The sequence below is a fragment of the Homo sapiens genome, chromosome 1 (genome assembly GCF_000001405.40).
Source record: "Homo sapiens chromosome 1, GRCh38.p14 Primary Assembly".
Lineage (NCBI taxonomy): Eukaryota > Metazoa > Chordata > Mammalia > Primates > Hominidae > Homo > Homo sapiens.
Window position 1 is genome coordinate 121,659,365 of NC_000001.11, and position 24,067 is coordinate 121,683,431.

The 24,067-nt window shown below is 43.3% G+C and overlaps 5 annotated features.

Annotated features, from left to right (window-relative positions):
• Nucleotides 149-936: an enhancer, noted in NCBI's record as "OCT4-NANOG-H3K27ac hESC enhancer chr1:121401311-121402098 (GRCh37/hg19 assembly coordinates)". NCBI's record gives its function as "activates a minimal SCP1, AML or CMV promoter by ChIP-STARR-seq in primed H9 embryonic stem cells {active_cell/tissue: H9 hESC(primed)}" and the evidence as "EXISTENCE:reporter gene assay evidence [ECO:0000049][PMID:30033119]".
• Nucleotides 6,770-7,339: an enhancer, noted in NCBI's record as "OCT4-NANOG hESC enhancer chr1:121407932-121408501 (GRCh37/hg19 assembly coordinates)". NCBI's record gives its function as "activates a minimal SCP1, AML or CMV promoter by ChIP-STARR-seq in primed H9 embryonic stem cells {active_cell/tissue: H9 hESC(primed)}" and the evidence as "EXISTENCE:reporter gene assay evidence [ECO:0000049][PMID:30033119]".
• Nucleotides 7,340-7,908: an enhancer, noted in NCBI's record as "OCT4-NANOG hESC enhancer chr1:121408502-121409070 (GRCh37/hg19 assembly coordinates)". NCBI's record gives its function as "activates a minimal SCP1, AML or CMV promoter by ChIP-STARR-seq in primed H9 embryonic stem cells {active_cell/tissue: H9 hESC(primed)}" and the evidence as "EXISTENCE:reporter gene assay evidence [ECO:0000049][PMID:30033119]".
• Nucleotides 7,949-8,920: an enhancer, noted in NCBI's record as "OCT4-NANOG hESC enhancer chr1:121409111-121410082 (GRCh37/hg19 assembly coordinates)". NCBI's record gives its function as "activates a minimal SCP1, AML or CMV promoter by ChIP-STARR-seq in primed H9 embryonic stem cells {active_cell/tissue: H9 hESC(primed)}" and the evidence as "EXISTENCE:reporter gene assay evidence [ECO:0000049][PMID:30033119]".
• Nucleotides 21,433-22,032: an enhancer, noted in NCBI's record as "OCT4-NANOG hESC enhancer chr1:121422595-121423194 (GRCh37/hg19 assembly coordinates)". NCBI's record gives its function as "activates a minimal SCP1, AML or CMV promoter by ChIP-STARR-seq in primed H9 embryonic stem cells {active_cell/tissue: H9 hESC(primed)}" and the evidence as "EXISTENCE:reporter gene assay evidence [ECO:0000049][PMID:30033119]".

Genomic DNA, 24,067 nt, shown 5'->3' on the forward strand with positions numbered 1-24,067 from the left:
GGTGACGTTATCCCGTTTCCAACGAAATCCTCAGAGAGGTCCAAATATCCACCTGCAGAGTCTACAAAAAGTGTGTTTCAAAACTGCTCCACCCAAAGGAATGTTCAGCTCTGTGAGTTGAACTCAATCATCCCAAAGTATTTTCTGAGAATGCTTCTGTCCAGTTTTTACATGAAGCTGTTTCCTTTACTACTGTAGGCCTCAAAGCGTTCCAAACCTCCACTTGCAGATACTACGAAAAGAGCGTTTCAACCTGAACTCACAAGGGAAGGTTCAACTCTGTCAGTTGAATGCCAACATCACCAAGAACTTCTGAGAATGTTCCTCTTCAGTTATGTGAGGTTTATCCCGTTTCCAACGAAATTCTCAGAGAAGTCCAAAAATCCACTTGCATATTCCACAAAAGGTGTGTTTGGAAAATGCGCCATCAAAAGATATGCTCAGCTCTGTGAGTTAAACTCAATCATCGCAAAGAATTTTCTGAGAATGCTTCCGTCTTGTTTTTAGATGAAGCTCTTTCCTTTACTACGATAGGCCTCAAAGAGGTCCAAATCTCCACTTGCAGATTCTGCAGAAGGAGTGTTTCAAACCTGAACTGTCAGAGAAAAGTTCAACACTGTGAGTTGAATGCAAGCATCACGAAGAAGGTTCTGAGAATGCTTCTGTTTACGTAGGTGACTTTTCTCCCGTATCCAACGAAATCCTCAGAGCGGTCCAAATCTCCACTTGCAGATTCTACACAAAGTGTGTTTGGAAACTGCTCCACCCAAAGGAATGTTCAGCTCTGTGAGTTGAACTCAATGGTCACAAAGCGTTTCCTGGGAATGCTCCTGTCTCGCTTTTATGTGCAGTTATATCCTCTACTGCCATAGGCCTCAAAGCGTTCCAAATCTCCCCTTTCAGATTCTACCAAAAGTGTGTTTCCAAACGGCCCCATCAAAGGGGATGTTCAACTCGGTGACTTGAATGCAATCATCACAAAGCAGCTTCTGAGAATGCTTCCATGTAGCTCTGATGAGAAGATATTTCCTTTTCCACCCCAGGCCTCGAAGCCCCCCAAATGTCCCCTTGCAGATGCTAGAAAGAGGGGGTTTCAAAGCTGCTCTATCAAAAGGAAAGTACAACTCTGTGAGTTGAATGCAAACATCACAAGGAAGTTCCTGAGCATGCTTCCGTTTAGCTTTTACGGGAAGATTATCCCTTTTCCATCGAAATGTTCAAAGAGGTCCACATATCCGCTTGCAGATTCCACCGAAAGAGTGTTTCCAAACTGCTGCATCCAAAGGAATCCTCAGCTCCGTGAGTTGAATGCAATCATCACCAAGAAGTTTCTGACAATGCTTCTCTCTAGTTTTTATGTGAAGATATTTCCTTTTCCACCGCAGGCCTGAAAGCGCTCCAAATGTCCACTTGGAGGCTCTACGAAAAGAATGTTTCAAAACTGCTCTATGAAAAGCAATGTTATACTCTGGGAGTTGAACACAAGCCTCACAAAGGAGTTTCTGAGAATGCTTCTGTTTACTTTTTACGTGAGGATATTCCCGTTTCCTAAGAAGTCTTCACAGAGTTCCACCTATCCATTTGCAGATGCTAGCAAAAGAGAGTTTCAAAACTGCTTCATCAAAAGGAATGTTTAACTCTGTGAGTTGCATGCAATCATCACAGAGAAGTTTCTGAGAATGCTTCTGTCTAGATTTTATGTGAAGATATGGCCGTTTCGAATGAAGGCCACAAAGTGCTCCCAATATTCACTTGCAGGTCCTCCAAAAAGAGTGTTTCAAACGTGAACTACCAAAGGAAGGCTCAACTCTGGACTTTGAATGCCAACGTCAGAAGGATGTTTCTGCGAAAGCTTCTGTTTAGTTAGGTGACGTTATCCCGTCTCCAACGAAATCCTCAGAGAGGTCCAAATATCCACCTGCAGAGTCTACAAAAAGTGTGTTTCAAAACTGCTCCACCCAAAGGAATGTTCAGCTCTGTGAGTTGAACTCAATCATCCCAAAGTATTTTCTGAGAATGCTTCTGTCCAGTTTTTACATGAAGCTGTTTCCTTTACTACCGTAGGCCTCAAAGGGTTCCAAACCTCCACTTGCAGATACTACGAAAAGAGCGTTTCAACCTGAACTCACAAGGGAAGGTTCAACTCTGTCAGTTGAATGCCAACATCACCAAGAAGTTCTGAGAATGTTCCTCTTCAGTTACGTGAGGTTTATCCCATTTCCAACGAAATTCTCAGAGAAGTCCCAAAATCCACTTGCATATTCCAAAAAAGGTGTGTTTTGAAAATGCGCCATCAAAAGATATGCTCAGCTCTGTGAGTTAAACTCAATCATCGCAAAGAATTTTCTGAGAATGCTTCCGTCTTGTTTTTAGATGAAGTTCTTTCCTTTACTATGATAGGCCTCAAGGAGGTCCAAATCTCCACTTGCAGATTCTGCAGAAGGAGTGTTTCAAACCTGAACTGTCAGAGAAAAGTTCAACACTGTGAGTTGAATGCAAGCATCACGAAGAAGGTTCTGAGAATGCTTCTGTTTACGTAGGTGACTTTTCTCCCTCTCCAACGAAATCCTCAGAGCGGTGCAAATCTCCACTTGCAGATTCTACACAAAGTGTGTTTGGAAACTGCTCCACCCAAAGGAATGTTCAGCTCTGTGAGTTGAACTCAATGGTCACAAAGCGTTTCCTGGGAATGCTCCTGTCTCGCTTTTCTGTGCAGTTATATCCTCTACTGCCATAGGCCTCAAAGCGGTCCAAATCTCCCCTTTCAGATTCTACCAAAAGTGTGTTTCCAAACGGCCCCATCAAAGGGGATGTTCAACTCGGTGACTTGAATGCAATCATCACAAAGCAGCTTCTGAGAATGCTTCCATGTAGCTTTGATGAGAAGATATTTCCTTTTCCACCCCAGGCCTCGAAGCCCTCCAAATGTCCCCTTGCAGATGCTAGAAAGAGGGGGTTTCAAAGCTGCTCTATCAAAAGGAAAGTACAACTCTGTGAGTTGAATGCAAACATCACAAGGAAGTTCCTGAGCATGCTTCCGTTTAGCTTTTACGGGAAGATTATCCCTTTTCCATCGAAATGTTCAAAGAGGTCCACATATCCGCTTGCAGATTCCACCGAAAGAGTGTTTCCAAACTGCTGCATCCAAAGGAATCCTCAGCTCCGTGAGTTGAATGCAATCATCACCAAGAAGTTTCTGACAATGCTTCTCTCTAGTTTTTATGTGAAGATATTTCCTTTTCCACCGCAGGCCTGAAAGCGCTCCAAATGTCCACTTGGAGGCTCTACGAAAAGAATGTTTCAAAACTGCTCTATGAAAAGCAATGTTATACTCTGGGAGTTGAACACAAGCCTCACAAAGGAGTTTCTGAGAATGCTTCTGTTTACTTTTTACGTGAGGATATTCCCGTTTCCAAAGAAGTCTTCACAGAGTTCCACCTATCCATTTGCAGATGCTAGCAAAAGAGAGTTTCAAAACTGCTCCATCAAAAGGAATGTTTAACTCTGTGAGTTGCATGCAATCATCACAGAGAAGTTTCTGAGAATGCTTCTGTCTAGATTTTATGTGAAGATATGGCCGTTTCGAACGAAGGCCACAAAGTGCTCCCAATATCCACTTGCAGGTCCTCCAAAAAGAGTGTTTCAAACGTGAACTACCAAAGGAAGGCTCAACTCTGGACTTTGAAGGCCAACGTCAGAAGGATGTTTCTGCGAAAGCTTCTGTTTAGTTAGGTGACGTTATCCCGTCTGCAACGAAATCCTCAGAGAGGTCCAAATATCCACCTGCAGAGTCTACAAAAAGTGTGTTTCAAAACTGCTCCACCCAAAGGAATGTTCAGCTCTGTGAGTTGAACTCAATCATCCCAAAGTATTTTCTGAGAATGCTTCTGTCCAGTTTTTACATGAAGCTGTTTCCTTTACTACTGTAGGCCTCAAAGCGTTCCAAACCTCCACTTGCAGATACTACGAAAAGAGCGTTTCAACCTGAACTCACAAGGGAAGGTTCAACTCTGTCAGTTGAATGCCAACATCACCAAGAACTTCTGAGAATGTTCCTCTTCAGTTACGTGAGGTTTATCCCGTTTCCAACGAAATTCTCAGAGAAGTCCCAAAATCCACTTGCATATTCCACAAAAGGTGTGTTTGGAAAATGCGCCATCAAAAGATATGCTCAGCTCTGTGAGTTAAACTCAATCATCGCAAAGAATTTTCTGAGAATGCTTCCGTCTTGTTTTTAGATGAAGTTCTTTCCTTTACTACGATAGGCCTCAAAGAGGTCCAAATCTCCACTTGCAGATTCTGCAGAAGGAGTGTTTCAAACCTGAACTGTCAGAGAAAAGTTCAACACTGTGAGTTGAATGCAAGCATCACGAAGAAGGTTCTGAGAATGCTTCTGTTTACGTAGGTGACTTTTCTCCCTATCCAACGAAATCCTCAGAGCGGTCCAAATCTCCACTTGCAGATTCTACACAAAGTGTGTTTGGAAATTGCTCCACCCACAGGAATGTTCAGCTCTGTGAGTTGAACTCAATGGTCACAAAGCGTTTCCTGGGAATGCTCCTGTCTCGCTTTTATGTGCAGTTATATCCTCTACTGCCATAGGCCTCAAAGCGGTCCAAATCTCCCCTTTCAGATTCTACCAAAAGTGTGTTTCCAAACGGACCCATCAAGGGGGATGTTCAATTCGGTGACTTGAATGCAATCATCACAAAGCAGCTTCTGGGAATGCTTCCATGTAGCTTTGATGAGAAGATATTTCCTTTTCCACCCCAGGCCTCGAAGCCCTCCAAATGTCCCCTTGCAGATGCTAGAAAGAGGGGGTTTCAAAGCTGCTCTATCAAAAGGAAAGTACAACTCTGTGTGTTGAATGCAAACATCACAAGGAAGTTCCTGAGCATGCTTCCGTTTAGCTTTTATGGGAAGATTATCCCTTTTCCATCGAAATGTTCAAACAGGTCCACATATCCGCTTGCAGATTCCACCGAAAGAGTGTTTCCAAACTGCTGCATCCAAAGGAATCCTCAGCTCCGTGAGTTGAATGCAATCATCACCAAGAAGTTTCTGACAATGCTTCTCTCTAGTTTTTATGTGAAGATATTTCCTTTTCCACCGCAGGCCTGAAAGCGCTCCAAATGTCCACTTGGAGGCTCTACGAAAAGAATGTTTCAAAACTGCTCTATGAAAAGCAATGTTATACTCTGGGAGTTGAACACAAGCCTCACAAAGGAGTTTCTGAGAATGCTTCTGTTTACTTTTTACGTGAGGATATTCCCGTTTCCAAAGAAGTCTTCACAGAGTTCCACCTATCCATTTGCAGATGCTAGCAAAAGAGAGTTTCAAAACTGCTTCATCAAAAGGAATGTTTAACTCTGTGAGTTGCATGCAATCATCACAGAGAAGTTTCTGAGAATGCTTCTGTCTAGATTTTATGTGAAGATATGGCCGTTTCGAATGAAGGCCACAAAGTGCTCCCAATATTCACTTGCAGGTCCTCCAAAAAGAGTGTTTCAAACGTGAACTACCAAAGGAAGGCCAAATCTGGACTTTGAAGGCCAACGTCAGAAGGATGTTTCTGCGAAAGCTTCTGTTTAGTTAGGTGACGTTATCCCGTTTCCAACGAAATACTCAGAGAGGTCCAAATATCCACCTGCGGAGTCTACAAAAAGTGTGTTTCCAAACTGCTCCACCCAAAGGAATGTTCAGCTCTGTGAGTTGTACTCAATCGTCCCGAAGTATTTTCTGAGAATGCTTCTGCCCAGTTTTTACGTGAAGCTGTTTCCTTTACTACCGTAGGCCTGAAAGCGTTCCAAACCTCCACTTGCAGATACTACGAAAAGAGCGTTTCAACCTGAACTCACAAGGGAAGGTTCAACTCTGTCAGTTGAATGCCAACATCACCAAGAAGTTCTGAGAATGTTCCTCTTCAGTTATGTGAGGTTTATCCCGTTTCCCACGAAATTCTCAGAGAAGTCCCAAAATCCACTTGCATATTCCACAAAAGGTGTGTTTGTAAAATGCGCCATCAAAAGATATGCTCAGCTCTGTGAGTTAAACTCAATCATTGCAAAGAATTTTCTGAGAATGCTTCCGTCTTGTTTTTAGATGAAGTTCTTTCCTTTACTACGATAGGCCTCAAAGAGGTCCAAATCTCCACTGGCAGATTCTGCAGAAGGAGTGTTTCAAATCTGAACTGTCAGAGAAAGGTTCAACACTGTGAGTTGAATGCAAGCATCACGAAGAAGGTTCTGAGAATGCTTCTGTTTACGTAGGTGACTTTTCTCCCGTATCCAGCGAAATCCTCAGAGCGGTCCAAATCTCCACTTGCAGATTCTACACAAAGTGTGTTTGGAAACTGCTCCACCCAAAGGAATGTTCGGCTCTGTGAGTTGAACTCAATGGTCACAAAGCGTTTCCTGGGAATGCTCCTTTCTCGCTTTTATGTACAGTTATATCCTCTACTGACATAGGCCACAAAGCGGTCCAAATCTCCCCTTTCAGATTCTACCAGAAATGTGTTTCCAAACGGCCCCATCAAAGGGAATGTTCAACTCAGTGACTTGAATGCAATCATCACAAAGCAGCTTCTGAGAATGCTTCCATGTAGCTTTGATGAGAAGATATTTCCTTTTCCACCCCAGGCCTCGAAGCCCTCCAAATGTCCCCTTGCAGATGCTAGAAAGAGGGGGTTTCAAAGCTGCTCTATCAGAAGGAAAGTACAACTCTGTGAGTTGAATGCAAACATCACAAGGAAGTTCCTGAGCATGCTTCCGTTTAGCTTTTACGGGAAGATTATCCCTTTTCCATCGAAATGTTCAAAGAGGTCCACATATCTGCTTGCAGATTCCACCCAAAGAGTGTTTCCAAACTGCTGCATCCAAAGGAATCCTCAGCTCCGTGAGTTGAATGCAATCATCACCAAGAAGTTTCTGACAATGCTTCTCTCTAGTTTTTATGTGAAGATATTTCCTTTTCCACCGCAGGCCTGAAAGCGCTCCAAATGTCCACTTGGAGGCTCTACGAAAAGAATGTTTCAAAACTGCTCTATGAAAAGCAATGTTATACTCTGGGAGTTGAACACAAGCCTCACAAAGGAGTTTCTGAGAATGCTTCTGTTTACTTTTTACGTGAGGATATTCCCGTTTCCGAAGAAGTCTTCACAGAGTTCCACCTATCCATTTGCAGATGCTAGCAAAAGAAAGTTTCAAAACTGCTCCATCAAAAGGAACGTTCAACTCTGTGAGTTGCATGCAATCATCACAGAGAAGTTTCTGAGAAGGCTTCTGTCTAGATTTTACGTGAAGATATAGCCGTTTCGAACGAAGGCCACAAAGTGCTCCAAATATCCACTTGCAGGTCCTCCAAAAAGAGTGTTTCAAACGTGAACTACCAAAGGAAGGCTCAACTCTGGACTTTGAAGGCCAACGTCAGAAGGATGTTTCTGCGAAAGCTTCTGTTTAGTTAGGTGACGTTATCCCGTTTCCAACGAAATCCTCAGAGAGGTCCAAATATCCACCTGGTGAGTCTACAGAAAGTGTGTTTCCAAACTGCTCCACCCAAAGGAATGTTCAGCTCTGTGAGTTGAACTCAATCGTCCGAAAGCATTTTCTGAGAATGCTTCTGTCCAGTTTTTACATGAAGCTGTTTCCTTTACTACCGTAGGCCTCAAAGCGTTCCAAACCTCCACTTGCAGATCCTACGAAAAGAGCGTTTCAACCTGAACTCACAAGGGAAGGTTCAACTCTGTCAGTTGAATGCCAACATCACCAAGAAGTTCTGAGAATGTTCCTCTTCAGTTATGTGAGGTTTATCCCGTTTCCAACGAAATTCTCAGAGAAGTCCCAAAATCCTCTTGCATATTCCACAAAAGGTGTGTTTGGAAAATGCGCCATCAAAAGATATGCTCAGCTCTGTGAGTTAAACTCAAGCATCGCAAAGAATTTTCTGAGAATGCTTCCGTCTTGTTTTTAGATGAAGTTCTTTCCTTTACTACGATAGGCCTCAAAGAGGTACAAATCTCCACTTGCAGATTCTGCAGAAGGAGTGTTTCAAACCTGAACTGTCAGAGAAAGGTTCAACACTGTGAGTTGAATGCAAGCATCACGAAGAAGGTTCTGACAATGCTTCTGTTTACATAGGTGACTTTTCTCCCGTATCCAGCGAAATCCTCAGAGCGGTCCAAATCTCCACTTGCAGATTCTACACAAAGTGTGTTTGGAAACTGCTCCACCCAAAGGAATGTTCAGCTCTGTGAGTTGAACTCAATGGTCACAAAGCGTTTCCTGGGAATGCTCCTGTCTCGCTTTTATGTGCAGTTATATCCTCTACTGCCATAGGCCTCAAAGCGGTCCAAATCTCCCCTTTCAGATTCTACCAGAAGTGTGTTTCCAAACGGCCCCATCAAAGGGGATGTTCAACTCGGTGAGTTGAATGCAATCATCACAAAGCAGCTTCTGAGAATGCTTCCATGTAGCTTTGATGAGAAGATATTTCCTTTTCCACCCCAGGCCTCGAAGCCCTCCAAATGTCCCCTTGCCGATGCTAGAAAGAGGGGGTTTCAAAGCTGCTCTATCAAAAGGAAAGTACAACTCTGTGAGTTGAATGCAAACATCACAAGGAAGTTCCTGAGCATGCTTCCGTTTAGCTTTTACGGGAAGATTATCCCTTTTCCATCGAAATGTTCAAAGAGGTCCACATATCCTTTTGCAGATTCCACCGAAAGAGTGTTTCCAAACTGCTGCATCCAAAGGAATCCTCAGCTCCGTGAGTTGAATGCAATCATCACCAAGAAGTTTCTGACAATGCTTCTCTCTAGTTTTTATGTGAAGATATTTCCTTTTCCACCGCAGGCCTGAAAGCGCTCCAAATGTCCACTTGGAGGCTCTACGAAAAGAATGTTTCAAAACTGCTCTATGAAACGCAATGTTATACTCTGGGAGTTGAACACAAGCCTCACAAAGGAGTTTCTGAGAATGCTTCTGTTTACTTTTTACGTGAGGATATTCCCGTTTCCAAAGAAGTCTTCACAGAGTTCCACCTATACATTTGCAGATGTTAGCAAAAGAGAGTTTCAAAACTGCTCCATCAAAAGGAATGTTCAACTCTGTGAGTTGCATGCAATCATCACAGAGAAGTTTCTGAGAAGGCTTCTGTCTAGATTTTACATGAAGATATAGCCGTTTCGAACGAAGGCCACAAAGTGCTCCAAATATCCACTTGCAGGTCCTCCAAAAAGAGTGTTTCAAACGTGAACTACCAAAGGAAGGCTCAACTCTGGACTTTGAAGGCCAACGTCAGAAGGATGTTTCTGCGAAAGCTTCTGTTTAGTTAGGTGACGTTATCCCGTTTCCAACGAAATCCTCAGAGAGGTCCAAATATCCACCTGCGGAGTCTACAAAAAGTGTGTTTCCAAACTGCTCCACCCAAAGGAATGTTCAGCTCTGTGAGTTGTACTCAATCGTCCCGAAGTATTTTCTGAGAATGCTTCTGCCCAGTTTTTACATGAAGCTGTTTCCTTTACTACCGTAGGCCTCAAAGCGTTCCAAACCTCCACTTGCAGATCCTACGAAAAGAGCGTTTCAACCTGAACTCACAAGGGAAGGTTCAACTCTGTCAGTTGAATGCCAACATCACCAAGAAGTTCTGAGAATGTTCCTCTTCAGTTATGTGAGGTTTATCCCGTTTCCCACGAAATTCTCAGAGAAGTCCCAAAATCCACTTGCATATTCCACAAAAGGTGTGTTTGTAAAATGCGCCATCAAAAGATATGCTCAGCTCTGTGAGTTAAACTCAATCATCGCAAAGAATTTTCTGAGAATGCTTCCGTCTTGTTTTTAGATGAAGTTCTTTCCTTTACTACGATAGGCCTCAAAGAGGTCCAAATCTCCACTGGCAGATTCTGCAGAAGGAGTGTTTCAAACCTGAACTGTCAGAGAAAGGTTCAACACTGTGAGTTGAATGCAAGCATCACGAAGAAGGTTCTGAGAATGCTTCTGTTTACGTAGGTGACTTTTCTCCCATATCCAGCGAAATCCTCAGAGCGGTCCATATCTCCACTTGCAGATTCTACACAAAGTGTGTTTGGAAACTGCTCCACCCAAAGGAATGTTCGGCTCTGTGAGTTGAACTCAATGGTCAGAAAGCGTTTCCTGGGAATGCTCCTGTCTCGCTTTTATGTACAGTTATATCCTCTACTGCCATAGGCCTCAAAGCGGTCCAAATCTCCCCTTTCAGATTCTACCAGAAATGTGTTTCCAAACGGCCCCATCAAAGGGGATGTTCAACTCGGTGACTTGAATGCAATCATCACAAAGCAGCTTCTGAGAATGCTTCCATGTAGCTTTGATGAGAAGATATTTCCTTTTCCACCCCAGGCCTCGAAGCCCTCCAAATGTCCCCTTGCAGATGCTAGAAAGAGGGGGTTTCAAAGCTGCTCTATCAAAAGGAAAGTACAACTCTGTGAGTTGAATGCAAACATCACAAGGAAGTTCCTGAGCATGCTTCCGTTTAGCTTTTACGGGAAGATTATCCCTTTTCCATCGAAATGTTCAAAGAGGTCCACATATCCGCTTGCAGATTCCACACAAAGAGTGTTTCCAAACTGCTGCATCCAAAGGAATCCTCAGCTCCGTGAGTTGAATGCAATCATCACCAAGAAGTTTCTGACAATGCTTCTCTCTAGTTTTTATGTGAAGATATTTCCTTTTCCACCGCAGGCCTGAAAGCGCTCCAAATGTCCACTTGGAGGCTCTACGAAAAGAATGTTTCAAAACTGCTCTATGAAAAGCAATGTTATACTCTGGGAGTTGAACACAAGACTCACAAAGGTGTTTCTGAGAATGCTTGTGTTTACTTTTTACGTGAGGATATTCCCGTTTCCAAAGAAGTCTTCACAGAGTTCCACCTATCCATTTGCAGATGCTAGCAAAAGAGAGTTTCAAAACTGCTCCATCAAAAGGAATGTTCAACTCTGTGACTTGCATGCAATCATCACAGAGAAGTTTCTGAGAAGGCTTCTGTCTAGATTGTATGTGAAGATATAGCCGTTTCGAACGAAGGCCACAAAGTGCTCCAAATATCCACTTGCAGGTCCTCCAAAAAGAGTGTTTCAAACGTGAACTACCAAAGGAAGGCTCAACTCTGGACTTTGAAGGCCAACGTCAGAAGGATGTTTCTGCGAAAGCTTCTGTTTAGTTAGGTGACGTTATCCCGTTTCCAACGAAATACTCAGAGAGGTCCAAATATCCATCTGCGGAGTCTACAAAAAGTGTGTTTCCAAACTGCTCCACCCAAAGGAATGTTCAGCTCTGTGAGTTGTACTCAATCGTCCCGAAGTATTTTCTGAGAATGCTTCTGCCCAGTTTTTACGTGAAGCTGTTTCCTTTACTACCGTAGGCCTGAAAGCGTTCCAAACCTCCACTTGCAGATACTACGAAAAGAGCGTTTCAACCTGAACTCACAAGGGAAGGCTCAACTCTGTCAGTTGAATGCCAACATCACCAAGAAGATCTGAGAATGTTCCTCTTCAGTTATGTGAGGTTTATCCCGTTTCCCACGAAATTCTCAGAGAAGTCCCAAAATCCACTTGCATATTCTACAAAAGGTGTGTTTGTAAAATGCGCCATCAAAAGATATGCTCAGCTCTGTGAGTTAAACTCAATCATCGCAAAGAATTTTCTGAGAATGCTTCCGTCTTGTTTTTAGATGAAGTTCTTTCCTTTACTACGATAGGCCTCAAAGAGGTCCAAATCTCCACTGGCAGATTCTGCAGAAGGAGTGTTTCAAACCTGAACTGTCAGAGAAAGGTTCAACACTGTGAGTTGAATGCAAGCATCACGAAGAAGGTTCTGAGAATGCTTCTGTTTACGTAGGTGACTTTTCTCCCATATCCAGCGAAATCCTCAGAGCGGTCCATATCTCCACTTGCAGATTCTACACAAAGTGTGTTTGGAAACTGCTCCACCCAAAGGAATGTTCGGCTCTGTGAGTTGAACTCAATGGTCACAAAGCGTTTCCTGGGAATGCTCCTGTCTCGCTTTTATGTACAGTTATATCCTCTACTGCCATAGGCCTCAAAGCGGTCCAAATCTCCCCTTTCAGATTCTACCAGAAATGTGTTTCCAAACGGCCCCATCAAAGGGGATGTTCAACTCGGTGACTTGAATGCAATCATCACAAAGCAGCTTCTGAGAATGCTTCCATGTAGCTTTGATGAGAAGATATTTCCTTTTCCACCCCAGGCCTCGAAGCCCTCCAAATGTCCCCTTGCAGATGCTAGAAAGAGGGGGTTTCAAAGCTGCTCTATCAAAAGGAAAGTACAACTCTGTGAGTTGAATGCAAACATCACAAGGAAGTTCCTGAGCATGCTTCCGTTTAGCTTTTACGGGAAGATTATCCCTTTTCCATCGAAATGTTCAAAGAGGTCCACATATCCGCTTGCAGATTCCACACAAAGAGTGTTTCCAAACTGCTGCATCCAAAGGAATCCTCAGCTCCGTGAGTTGAATGCAATCATCACCAAGAAGTTTCTGACAATGCTTCTCTCTAGTTTTTATGTGAAGATATTTCCTTTTCCACCGCAGGCCTGAAAGCGCTCCAAATGTCCACTTGGAGGCTCTACGAAAAGAATGTTTCAAAACTGCTCTATGAAAAGCAATGTTATACTCTGGGAGTTGAACACAAGACTCACAAAGGAGTTTCTGAGAATGCTTGTGTTTACTTTTTACGTGAGGATATTCCCGTTTCCAAAGAAGTCTTCACAGAGTTCCACCTATCCATTTGCAGATGCTAGCAAAAGAGAGTTTCAAAACTGCTCCATCAAAAGGAATGTTCAACTCTGTGACTTGCATGCAATCATCACAGAGAAGTTTCTGAGAAGGCTTCTGTCTAGATTGTATGTGAAGATATAGCCGTTTCGAACGAAGGCCACAAAGTGCTCCAAATATCCACTTGCAGGTCCTCCAAAAAGAGTGTTTCAAACGTGAACTACCAAAGGAAGGCTCAACTCTAGACTTTGAAGGCCAACGTCAGAAGGATGTTTCTGCGAAAGCTTCTGTTTAGTTAGGTGACGTTATCCCGTTTCCAACGAAATACTCAGAGAGGTCCAAATATCCACCTGCGGAGTCTACAAAAAGTGTGTTTCCAAACTGCTCCACCCAAAGGAATGTTCAGCTCTGTGAGTTGTACTCAATCGTCCCGAAGTATTTTCTGAGAATGCTTCTGCCCAGTTTTTACGTGAAGCTGTTTCCTTTACTACCGTAGGCCTGAAAGCGTTCCAAACCTCCACTTGCAGATACTACGAAAAGAGCGTTTCAACCTGAACTCACAAGGGAAGGTTCAACTCTGTCAGTTGAATGCCAACATCACCAAGAAGATCTGAGAATGTTCCTCTTCAGTTATGTGAGGTTTATCCCGTTTCCCACGAAATTCTCAGAGAAGTCCCAAAATCCACTTGCATATTCCACAAAAGGTGTGTTTGTAAAATGCGCCATCAAAAGATATGCTCAGCTCTGTGAGTTAAACTCAATCATCGCAAAGAATTTTCTGAGAATGCTTCCGTCTTGTTTTTAGATGAAGTTCTTTCCTTTACTACGATAGGCCTCAAAGAGGTCCAAATCTCCACTGGCAGATTCTGCAGAAGGAGTGTTTCAAACCTGAACTGTCAGAGAAAGGTTCAACACTGTGAGTTGAATGTAAGCATCATGAAGAAGGTTCTGAGAATGCTTCTGTTTACGTAGGTGACTTTTCTGCCGTATCCAGCGAAATCCTCAGAGCGGTCCAAATCTCCACTTGCAGATTCTACACAAAGTGTGTTTGGAAACTGCTCCACCCAAAGGAATGTTCAGCTCTGTGAGTTGAACTCAATCGTCACAAAGCGTTTCCTGGGAATGCTCCTGTCTCGCTTTTATGTGCAGTTATATCCTCTACTGCCATAGGCCTCAAAGCGGTCCAAATCTCCCCTTTCAGATTCTACCAGAAGTGTGTTTCCAAACGGCCCCATCAAAGGGGATGTTCAACTCGGTGACTTGAATGCAATCATCACAAAGCAGCTTCTGAGAATGCTTCCATGTAGCTTTGATGAGAAGATATTTCCTTTTCCACCCCAGGCCTCGAAGCCCTCCAAATGTCCCCTTGCAGATGCTAGAAAGAGGGGGTTTCAAAGCTGCTCTATCAAAAGGAAAGTACAACTCTGTGAGTTGAATGCAAACATCACAAGGAAGTTCCTGAGCATGCTTCCGTTTAGCTTTTACGGGAAGATTATCCCTTTTCCATCGAAATGTTCAAAGAGGTCCACATATCCGCTTGCAGATTCCACCGAAAGAGTGTTTCCAAACTGCTGCATCCAAAGGAATCCTCAGCTCCGTGAGTTGAAGGCAATCATCACCAAGAAGTTTCTGACAATGCTTCCCTCTAGCTTTTATGTGAAGATATTTCCTTTTCCACCGCAGGCCTGAAAGCGTTCCAAATGTCCACTTGGAGGCTCTACGAAAAGAATGTTTCAAAACTGCTCTATGAAAAGCAATGTTATACTCTGGGAGTTGAACACAAGCCTCACAAAGGAGTTTCTGAGAATGCTTCTGTTTACTTTTTACGTGAGGATATTCCCGTTTCCAAAGAAGTCTTCACAGAGTTCCACCTATCCATTTGCAGATGCTAGCAAAAGAGAGTTTCAAAACTGCTCCATCAAAAGGAATGTTCAACTCTGTGAGTTGCATGCAATCATCACAGAGAAGTTTCTGAGAAGGCTTCTGTCTAGATTTTACGTGAAGATATAGCCGTTTCGAACGAAGGCCACAAAGTGCTCCAAATATCCACTTGCAGGTCCTCCAAAAAGAGTGTTTCAAACGTGAACTACCAAAGGAAGGCCAAATCTGGACTTTGAAGGCCAACGTCAGAAGGATGTTTCTGCGAAAGCTTCTGTTTAGTTAGGTGACGTTATCCCGTTTCCAACGAAATACTCAGAGAGGTCCAAATATCCACCTGCGGAGTCTACAAAAAGTGTGTTTCCAAACTGCTCCACCCAAAGGAATGTTCAGCTCTGTGAGTTGTACTCAATCGTCCCGAAGTATTTTCTGAGAATGCTTCTGCCCAGTTTTTACGTGAAGCTGTTTCCTTTACTACCGTAGGCCTGAAAGCGTTCCAAACCTCCACTTGCAGATACTACGAAAAGAGCGTTTCAACCTGAACTCACAAGGGAAGGTTCAACTCTGTCAGTTGAATGCCAACATCACCAAGAAGTTCTGAGAATGTTCCTCTTCAGTTATGTGAGGTTTATCCCGTTTCCCACGAAATTCTCAGAGAAGTCCCAAAATCCACTTGCATATTCCACAAAAGGTGTGTTTGTAAAATGCGCCATCAAAAGATATGCTCAGCTCTGTGAGTTAAACTCAATCATTGCAAAGAATTTTCTGAGAATGCTTCCGTCTTGTTTTTAGATGAAGTTCTTTCCTTTACTACGATAGGCCTCAAAGAGGTCCAAATCTCCACTGGCAGATTCTGCAGAAGGAGTGTTTCAAATCTGAACTGTCAGAGAAAGGTTCAACACTGTGAGTTGAATGCAAGCATCACGAAGAAGGTTCTGAGAATGCTTCTGTTTACGTAGGTGACTTTTCTCCCGTATCCAGCGAAATCCTCAGAGCGGTCCAAATCTCCACTTGCAGATTCTACACAAAGTGTGTTTGGAAACTGCTCCACCCAAAGGAATGTTCGGCTCTGTGAGTTGAACTCAATGGTCACAAAGCGTTTCCTGGGAATGCTCCTTTCTCGCTTTTATGTACAGTTATATCCTCTACTGACATAGGCCACAAAGCGGTCCAAATCTCCCCTTTCAGATTCTACCAGAAATGTGTTTCCAAACGGCCCCATCAAAGGGAATGTTCAACTCAGTGACTTGAATGCAATCATCACAAAGCAGCTTCTGAGAATGCTTCCATGTAGCTTTGATGAGAAGATATTTCCTTTTCCACCCCAGGCCTCGAAGCCCTCCAAATGTCCCCTTGCAGATGCTAGAAAGAGGGGGTTTCAAAGCTGCTCTATCAGAAGGAAAGTACAACTCTGTGAGTTGAATGCAAACATCACAAGGAAGTTCCTGAGCATGCTTCCGTTTAGCTTTTACGGGAAGATTATCCCTTTTCCATCGAAATGTTCAAAGAGGTCCACATATCTGCTTGCAGATTCCACCCAAAGAGTGTTTCCAAACTGCTGCATCCAAAGGAATCCTCAGCTCCGTGAGTTGAATGCAATCATCACCAAGAAGTTTCTGACAATGCTTCTCTCTAGTTTTTATGTGAAGATATTTCCTTTTCCACCGCAGGCCTGAAAGCGCTCCAAATGTCCACTTGGAGGCTCTACGAAAAGAATGTTTCAAAACTGCTCTATGAAAAGCAATGTTATACTCTGGGAGTTGAACACAAGCCTCACAAAGGAGTTTCTGAGAATGCTTCTGTTTACTTTTTACGTGAGGATATTCCCGTTTCCGAAGAAGTCTTCACAGAGTTCCACCTATCCATTTGCAGATGCTAGCAAAAGAAAGTTTCAAAACTGCTCCATCAAAAGGAACGTTCAACTCTGTGAGTTGCATGCAATCATCACAGAGAAGTTTCTGAGAAGGCTTCTGTCTAGATTTTACGTGAAGATATAGCCGTTTCGAACGAAGGCCACAAAGTGCTCCAAATATCCACTTGCAGGTCCTCCAAAAAGAGTGTTTCAAACGTGAACTACCAAAGGAAGGCTCAACTCTGGACTTTGAAGGCCAACGTCAGAAGGATGTTTCTGCGAAAGCTTCTGTTTAGTTAGGTGACGTTATCCCGTTTCCAACGAAATCCTCAGAGAGGTCCAAATATCCACCTGGGGAGTCTACAGAAAGTGTGTTTCCAAACTGCTCCACCCAAAGGAATGTTCAGCTCTGTGAGTTGAACTCAATCGTCCGAAAGCATTTTCTGAGAATGCTTCTGTCCAGTTTTTACATGAAGCTGTTTCCTTTACTACCGTAGGCCTCAAAGCGTTCCAAACCTCCACTTGCAGATCCTACGAAAAGAGCGTTTCAACCTGAACTCACAAGGGAAGGTTCAACTCTGTCAGTTGAATGCCAACATCACCAAGAAGTTCTGAGAATGTTCCTCTTCAGTTATGTGAGGTTTATCCCGTTTCCAACGAAATTCTCAGAGAAGTCCCAAAATCCTCTTGCATATTCCACAAAAGGTGTGTTTGGAAAATGCGCCATCAAAAGATATGCTCAGCTCTGTGAGTTAAACTCAAGCATCGCAAAGAATTTTCTGAGAATGCTTCCGTCTTGTTTTTAGATGAAGTTCTTTCCTTTACTACGATAGGCCTCAAAGAGGTACAAATCTCCACTTGCAGATTCTGCAGAAGGAGTGTTTCAAACCTGAACTGTCAGAGAAAGGTTCAACACTGTGAGTTGAATGCAAGCATCACGAAGAAGGTTCTGACAATGCTTCTGTTTACATAGGTGACTTTTCTCCCGTATCCAGCGAAATCCTCAGAGCGGTCCAAATCTCCACTTGCAGATTCTACACAAAGTGTGTTTGGAAACTGCTCCACCCAAAGGAATGTTCAGCTCTGTGAGTTGAACTCAATGGTCACAAAGCGTTTCCTGGGAATGCTCCTGTCTCGCTTTTATGTGCAGTTATATCCTCTACTGCCATAGGCCTCAAAGCGGTCCAAATCTCCCCTTTCAGATTCTACCAGAAGTGTGTTTCCAAACGGCCCCATCAAAGGGGATGTTCAACTCGGTGAGTTGAATGCAATCATCACAAAGCAGCTTCTGAGAATGCTTCCATGTAGCTTTGATGAGAAGATATTTCCTTTTCCACCCCAGGCCTCGAAGCCCTCCAAATGTCCCCTTGCCGATGCTAGAAAGAGGGGGTTTCAAAGCTGCTCTATCAAAAGGAAAGTACAACTCTGTGAGTTGAATGCAAACATCACAAGGAAGTTCCTGAGCATGCTTCCGTTTAGCTTTTACGGGAAGATTATCCCTTTTCCATCGAAATGTTCAAAGAGGTCCACATATCCTTTTGCAGATTCCACCGAAAGAGTGTTTCCAAACTGCTGCATCCAAAGGAATCCTCAGCTCCGTGAGTTGAATGCAATCATCACCAAGAAGTTTCTGACAATGCTTCTCTCTAGTTTTTATGTGAAGATATTTCCTTTTCCACCGCAGGCCTGAAAGCGCTCCAAATGTCCACTTGGAGGCTCTACGAAAAGAATGTTTCAAAACTGCTCTATGAAACGCAATGTTATACTCTGGGAGTTGAACACAAGCCTCACAAAGGAGTTTCTGAGAATGCTTCTGTTTACTTTTTACGTGAGGATATTCCCGTTTCCAAAGAAGTCTTCACAGAGTTCCACCTATACATTTGCAGATGTTAGCAAAAGAGAGTTTCAAAACTGCTCCATCAAAAGGAATGTTCAACTCTGTGAGTTGCATGCAATCATCACAGAGAAGTTTCTGAGAAGGCTTCTGTCTAGATTTTACATGAAGATATAGCCGTTTCGAACGAAGGCCACAAAGTGCTCCAAATATCCACTTGCAGGTCCTCCAAAAAGAGTGTTTCAAACGTGAACTACCAAAGGAAGGCTCAACTCTGGACTTTGAAGGCCAACGTCAGAAGGATGTTTCTGCGAAAGCTTCTGTTTAGTTAGGTGACGTTATCCCGTTTCCAACGAAATCCTCAGAGAGGTCCAAATATCCACCTGCGGAGTCTACAAAAAGTGTGTTTCCAAACTGCTCCACCCAAAGGAATGTTCAGCTCTGTGAGTTGTACTCAATCGTCCCGAAGTATTTTCTGAGAATGCTTCTGCCCAGTTTTTACATGAAGCTGTTTCCTTTACTACCGTAGGCCTCAAAGCGTTCCAAACCTCCACTTGCAGATCCTACGAAAAGAGCGTTTCAACCTGAACTCACAAGGGAAGGTTCAACTCTGTCAGTTGAATGCCAACATCACCAAGAAGTTCTGAGAATGTTCCTCTTCAGTTATGTGAGGTTTATCCCGTTTCCCACGAAATTCTCAGAGAAGTCCCAAAATCCACTTGCATATTCCACAAAAGGTGTGTTTGTAAAATGCGCCATCAAAAGATATGCTCAGCTCTGTGAGTTAAACTCAATCATCGCAAAGAATTTTCTGAGAATGCTTCCGTCTTGTTTTTAGATGAAGTTCTTTCCTTTACTACGATAGGCCTCAAAGAGGTCCAAATCTCCACTGGCAGATTCTGCAGAAGGAGTGTTTCAAACCTGAACTGTCAGAGAAAGGTTCAACACTGTGAGTTGAATGCAAGCATCACGAAGAAGGTTCTGAGAATGCTTCTGTTTACGTAGGTGACTTTTCTCCCATATCCAGCGAAATCCTCAGAGCGGTCCATATCTCCACTTGCAGATTCTACACAAAGTGTGTTTGGAAACTGCTCCACCCAAAGGAATGTTCGGCTCTGTGAGTTGAACTCAATGGTCAGAAAGCGTTTCCTGGGAATGCTCCTGTCTCGCTTTTATGTACAGTTATATCCTCTACTGCCATAGGCCTCAAAGCGGTCCAAATCTCCCCTTTCAGATTCTACCAGAAATGTGTTTCCAAACGGCCCCATCAAAGGGGATGTTCAACTCGGTGACTTGAATGCAATCATCACAAAGCAGCTTCTGAGAATGCTTCCATGTAGCTTTGATGAGAAGATATTTCCTTTTCCACCCCAGGCCTCGAAGCCCTCCAAATGTCCCCTTGCAGATGCTAGAAAGAGGGGGTTTCAAAGCTGCTCTATCAAAAGGAAAGTACAACTCTGTGAGTTGAATGCAAACATCACAAGGAAGTTCCTGAGCATGCTTCCGTTTAGCTTTTACGGGAAGATTATCCCTTTTCCATCGAAATGTTCAAAGAGGTCCACATATCCGCTTGCAGATTCCACACAAAGAGTGTTTCCAAACTGCTGCATCCAAAGGAATCCTCAGCTCCGTGAGTTGAATGCAATCATCACCAAGAAGTTTCTGACAATGCTTCTCTCTAGTTTTTATGTGAAGATATTTCCTTTTCCACCGCAGGCCTGAAAGCGCTCCAAATGTCCACTTGGAGGCTCTACGAAAAGAATGTTTCAAAACTGCTCTATGAAAAGCAATGTTATACTCTGGGAGTTGAACACAAGACTCACAAAGGTGTTTCTGAGAATGCTTGTGTTTACTTTTTACGTGAGGATATTCCCGTTTCCAAAGAAGTCTTCACAGAGTTCCACCTATCCATTTGCAGATGCTAGCAAAAGAGAGTTTCAAAACTGCTCCATCAAAAGGAATGTTCAACTCTGTGACTTGCATGCAATCATCACAGAGAAGTTTCTGAGAAGGCTTCTGTCTAGATTGTATGTGAAGATATAGCCGTTTCGAACGAAGGCCACAAAGTGCTCCAAATATCCACTTGCAGGTCCTCCAAAAAGAGTGTTTCAAACGTGAACTACCAAAGGAAGGCTCAACTCTAGACTTTGAAGGCCAACGTCAGAAGGATGTTTCTGCGAAAGCTTCTGTTTAGTTAGGTGACGTTATCCCGTTTCCAACGAAATACTCAGAGAGGTCCAAATATCCATCTGCGGAGTCTACAAAAAGTGTGTTTCCAAACTGCTCCACCCAAAGGAATGTTCAGCTCTGTGAGTTGTACTCAATCGTCCCGAAGTATTTTCTGAGAATGCTTCTGCCCAGTTTTTACGTGAAGCTGTTTCCTTTACTACCGTAGGCCTGAAAGCGTTCCAAACCTCCACTTGCAGATACTACGAAAAGAGCGTTTCAACCTGAACTCACAAGGGAAGGCTCAACTCTGTCAGTTGAATGCCAACATCACCAAGAAGATCTGAGAATGTTCCTCTTCAGTTATGTGAGGTTTATCCCGTTTCCCACGAAATTCTCAGAGAAGTCCCAAAATCCACTTGCATATTCTACAAAAGGTGTGTTTGTAAAATGCGCCATCAAAAGATATGCTCAGCTCTGTGAGTTAAACTCAATCATCGCAAAGAATTTTCTGAGAATGCTTCCGTCTTGTTTTTAGATGAAGTTCTTTCCTTTACTACGATAGGCCTCAAAGAGGTCCAAATCTCCACTGGCAGATTCTGCAGAAGGAGTGTTTCAAACCTGAACTGTCAGAGAAAGGTTCAACACTGTGAGTTGAATGCAAGCATCACGAAGAAGGTTCTGAGAATGCTTCTGTTTACGTAGGTGACTTTTCTCCCATATCCAGCGAAATCCTCAGAGCGGTCCATATCTCCACTTGCAGATTCTACACAAAGTGTGTTTGGAAACTGCTCCACCCAAAGGAATGTTCGGCTCTGTGAGTTGAACTCAATGGTCAGAAAGCGTTTCCTGGGAATGCTCCTGTCTCGCTTTTATGTACAGTTATATCCTCTACTGCCATAGGCCTCAAAGCGGTCCAAATCTCCCCTTTCAGATTCTACCAGAAATGTGTTTCCAAACGGCCCCATCAAAGGGGATGTTCAACTCGGTGACTTGAATGCAATCATCACAAAGCAGCTTCTGAGAATGCTTCCATGTAGCTTTGATGAGAAGATATTTCCTTTTCCACCCCAGGCCTCGAAGCCCTCCAAATGTCCCCTTGCAGATGCTAGAAAGAGGGGGTTTCAAAGCTGCTCTATCAAAAGGAAAGTACAACTCTGTGAGTTGAATGCAAACATCACAAGGAAGTTCCTGAGCATGCTTCCGTTTAGCTTTTACGGGAAGATTATCCCTTTTCCATCGAAATGTTCAAAGAGGTCCACATATCCGCTTGCAGATTCCACACAAAGAGTGTTTCCAAACTGCTGCATCCAAAGGAATCCTCAGCTCCGTGAGTTGAATGCAATCATCACCAAGAAGTTTCTGACAATGCTTCTCTCTAGTTTTTATGTGAAGATATTTCCTTTTCCACCGCAGGCCTGAAAGCGCTCCAAATGTCCACTTGGAGGCTCTACGAAAAGAATGTTTCAAAACTGCTCTATGAAAAGCAATGTTATACTCTGGGAGTTGAACACAAGACTCACAAAGGAGTTTCTGAGAATGCTTGTGTTTACTTTTTACGTGAGGATATTCCCGTTTCCAAAGAAGTCTTCACAGAGTTCCACCTATCCATTTGCAGATGCTAGCAAAAGAGAGTTTCAAAACTGCTCCATCAAAAGGAATGTTCAACTCTGTGACTTGCATGCAATCATCACAGAGAAGTTTCTGAGAAGGCTTCTGTCTAGATTGTATGTGAAGATATAGCCGTTTCGAACGAAGGCCACAAAGTGCTCCAAATATCCACTTGCAGGTCCTCCAAAAAGAGTGTTTCAAACGTGAACTACCAAAGGAAGGCTCAACTCTAGACTTTGAAGGCCAACGTCAGAAGGATGTTTCTGCGAAAGCTTCTGTTTAGTTAGGTGACGTTATCCCGTTTCCAACGAAATACTCAGAGAGGTCCAAATATCCACCTGCGGAGTCTACAAAAAGTGTGTTTCCAAACTGCTCCACCCAAAGGAATGTTCAGCTCTGTGAGTTGTACTCAATCGTCCCGAAGTATTTTCTGAGAATGCTTCTGCCCAGTTTTTACGTGAAGCTGTTTCCTTTACTACCGTAGGCCTGAAAGCGTTCCAAACCTCCACTTGCAGATACTACGAAAAGAGCGTTTCAACCTGAACTCACAAGGGAAGGTTCAACTCTGTCAGTTGAATGCCAACATCACCAAGAAGATCTGAGAATGTTCCTCTTCAGTTATGTGAGGTTTATCCCGTTTCCCACGAAATTCTCAGAGAAGTCCCAAAATCCACTTGCATATTCCACAAAAGGTGTGTTTGTAAAATGCGCCATCAAAAGATATGCTCAGCTCTGTGAGTTAAACTCAATCATCGCAAAGAATTTTCTGAGAATGCTTCCGTCTTGTTTTTAGATGAAGTTCTTTCCTTTACTACGATAGGCCTCAAAGAGGTCCAAATCTCCACTGGCAGATTCTGCAGAAGGAGTGTTTCAAACCTGAACTGTCAGAGAAAGGTTCAACACTGTGAGTTGAATGTAAGCATCATGAAGAAGGTTCTGAGAATGCTTCTGTTTACGTAGGTGACTTTTCTGCCGTATCCAGCGAAATCCTCAGAGCGGTCCAAATCTCCACTTGCAGATTCTACACAAAGTGTGTTTGGAAACTGCTCCACCCAAAGGAATGTTCAGCTCTGTGAGTTGAACTCAATCGTCACAAAGCGTTTCCTGGGAATGCTCCTGTCTCGCTTTTATGTGCAGTTATATCCTCTACTGCCATAGGCCTCAAAGCGGTCCAAATCTCCCCTTTCAGATTCTACCAGAAGTGTGTTTCCAAACGGCCCCATCAAAGGGGATGTTCAACTCGGTGACTTGAATGCAATCATCACAAAGCAGCTTCTGAGAATGCTTCCATGTAGCTTTGATGAGAAGATATTTCCTTTTCCACCCCAGGCCTCGAAGCCCTCCAAATGTCCCCTTGCAGATGCTAGAAAGAGGGGGTTTCAAAGCTGCTCTATCAAAAGGAAAGTACAACTCTGTGAGTTGAATGCAAACATCACAAGGAAGTTCCTGAGCATGCTTCCGTTTAGCTTTTACGGGAAGATTATCCCTTTTCCATCGAAATGTTCAAAGAGGTCCACATATCCGCTTGCAGATTCCACCGAAAGAGTGTTTCCAAACTGCTGCATCCAAAGGAATCCTCAGCTCCGTGAGTTGAATGCAATCATCACCAAGAAGTTTCTGACAATGCTTCTCTCTAGTTTTTATGTGAAGATATTTCCTTTTCCACCGCAGGCCTGAAAGCGCTCCAAATGTCCACTTGGAGGCTCTACGAAAAGAATGTTTCAAAACTGCTCTATGAAAAGCAATGTTATACTCTGGGGGTTGAACACAAGCCTCACAAAGGAGTTTCTGAGAATGCTTCTGTTTACTTTTTACGTGAGGATATTCCCGTTTCCAAAGAAGTCTTCACAGAGTTCCACCTATCCATTTGCAGATGCTAGCAAAAGAGAGTTTCAAAACTGCTCCATCAAAAGGAATGTTCAACTCTGTGAGTTGCATGCAATCATCACAGAGAAGTTTCTGAGA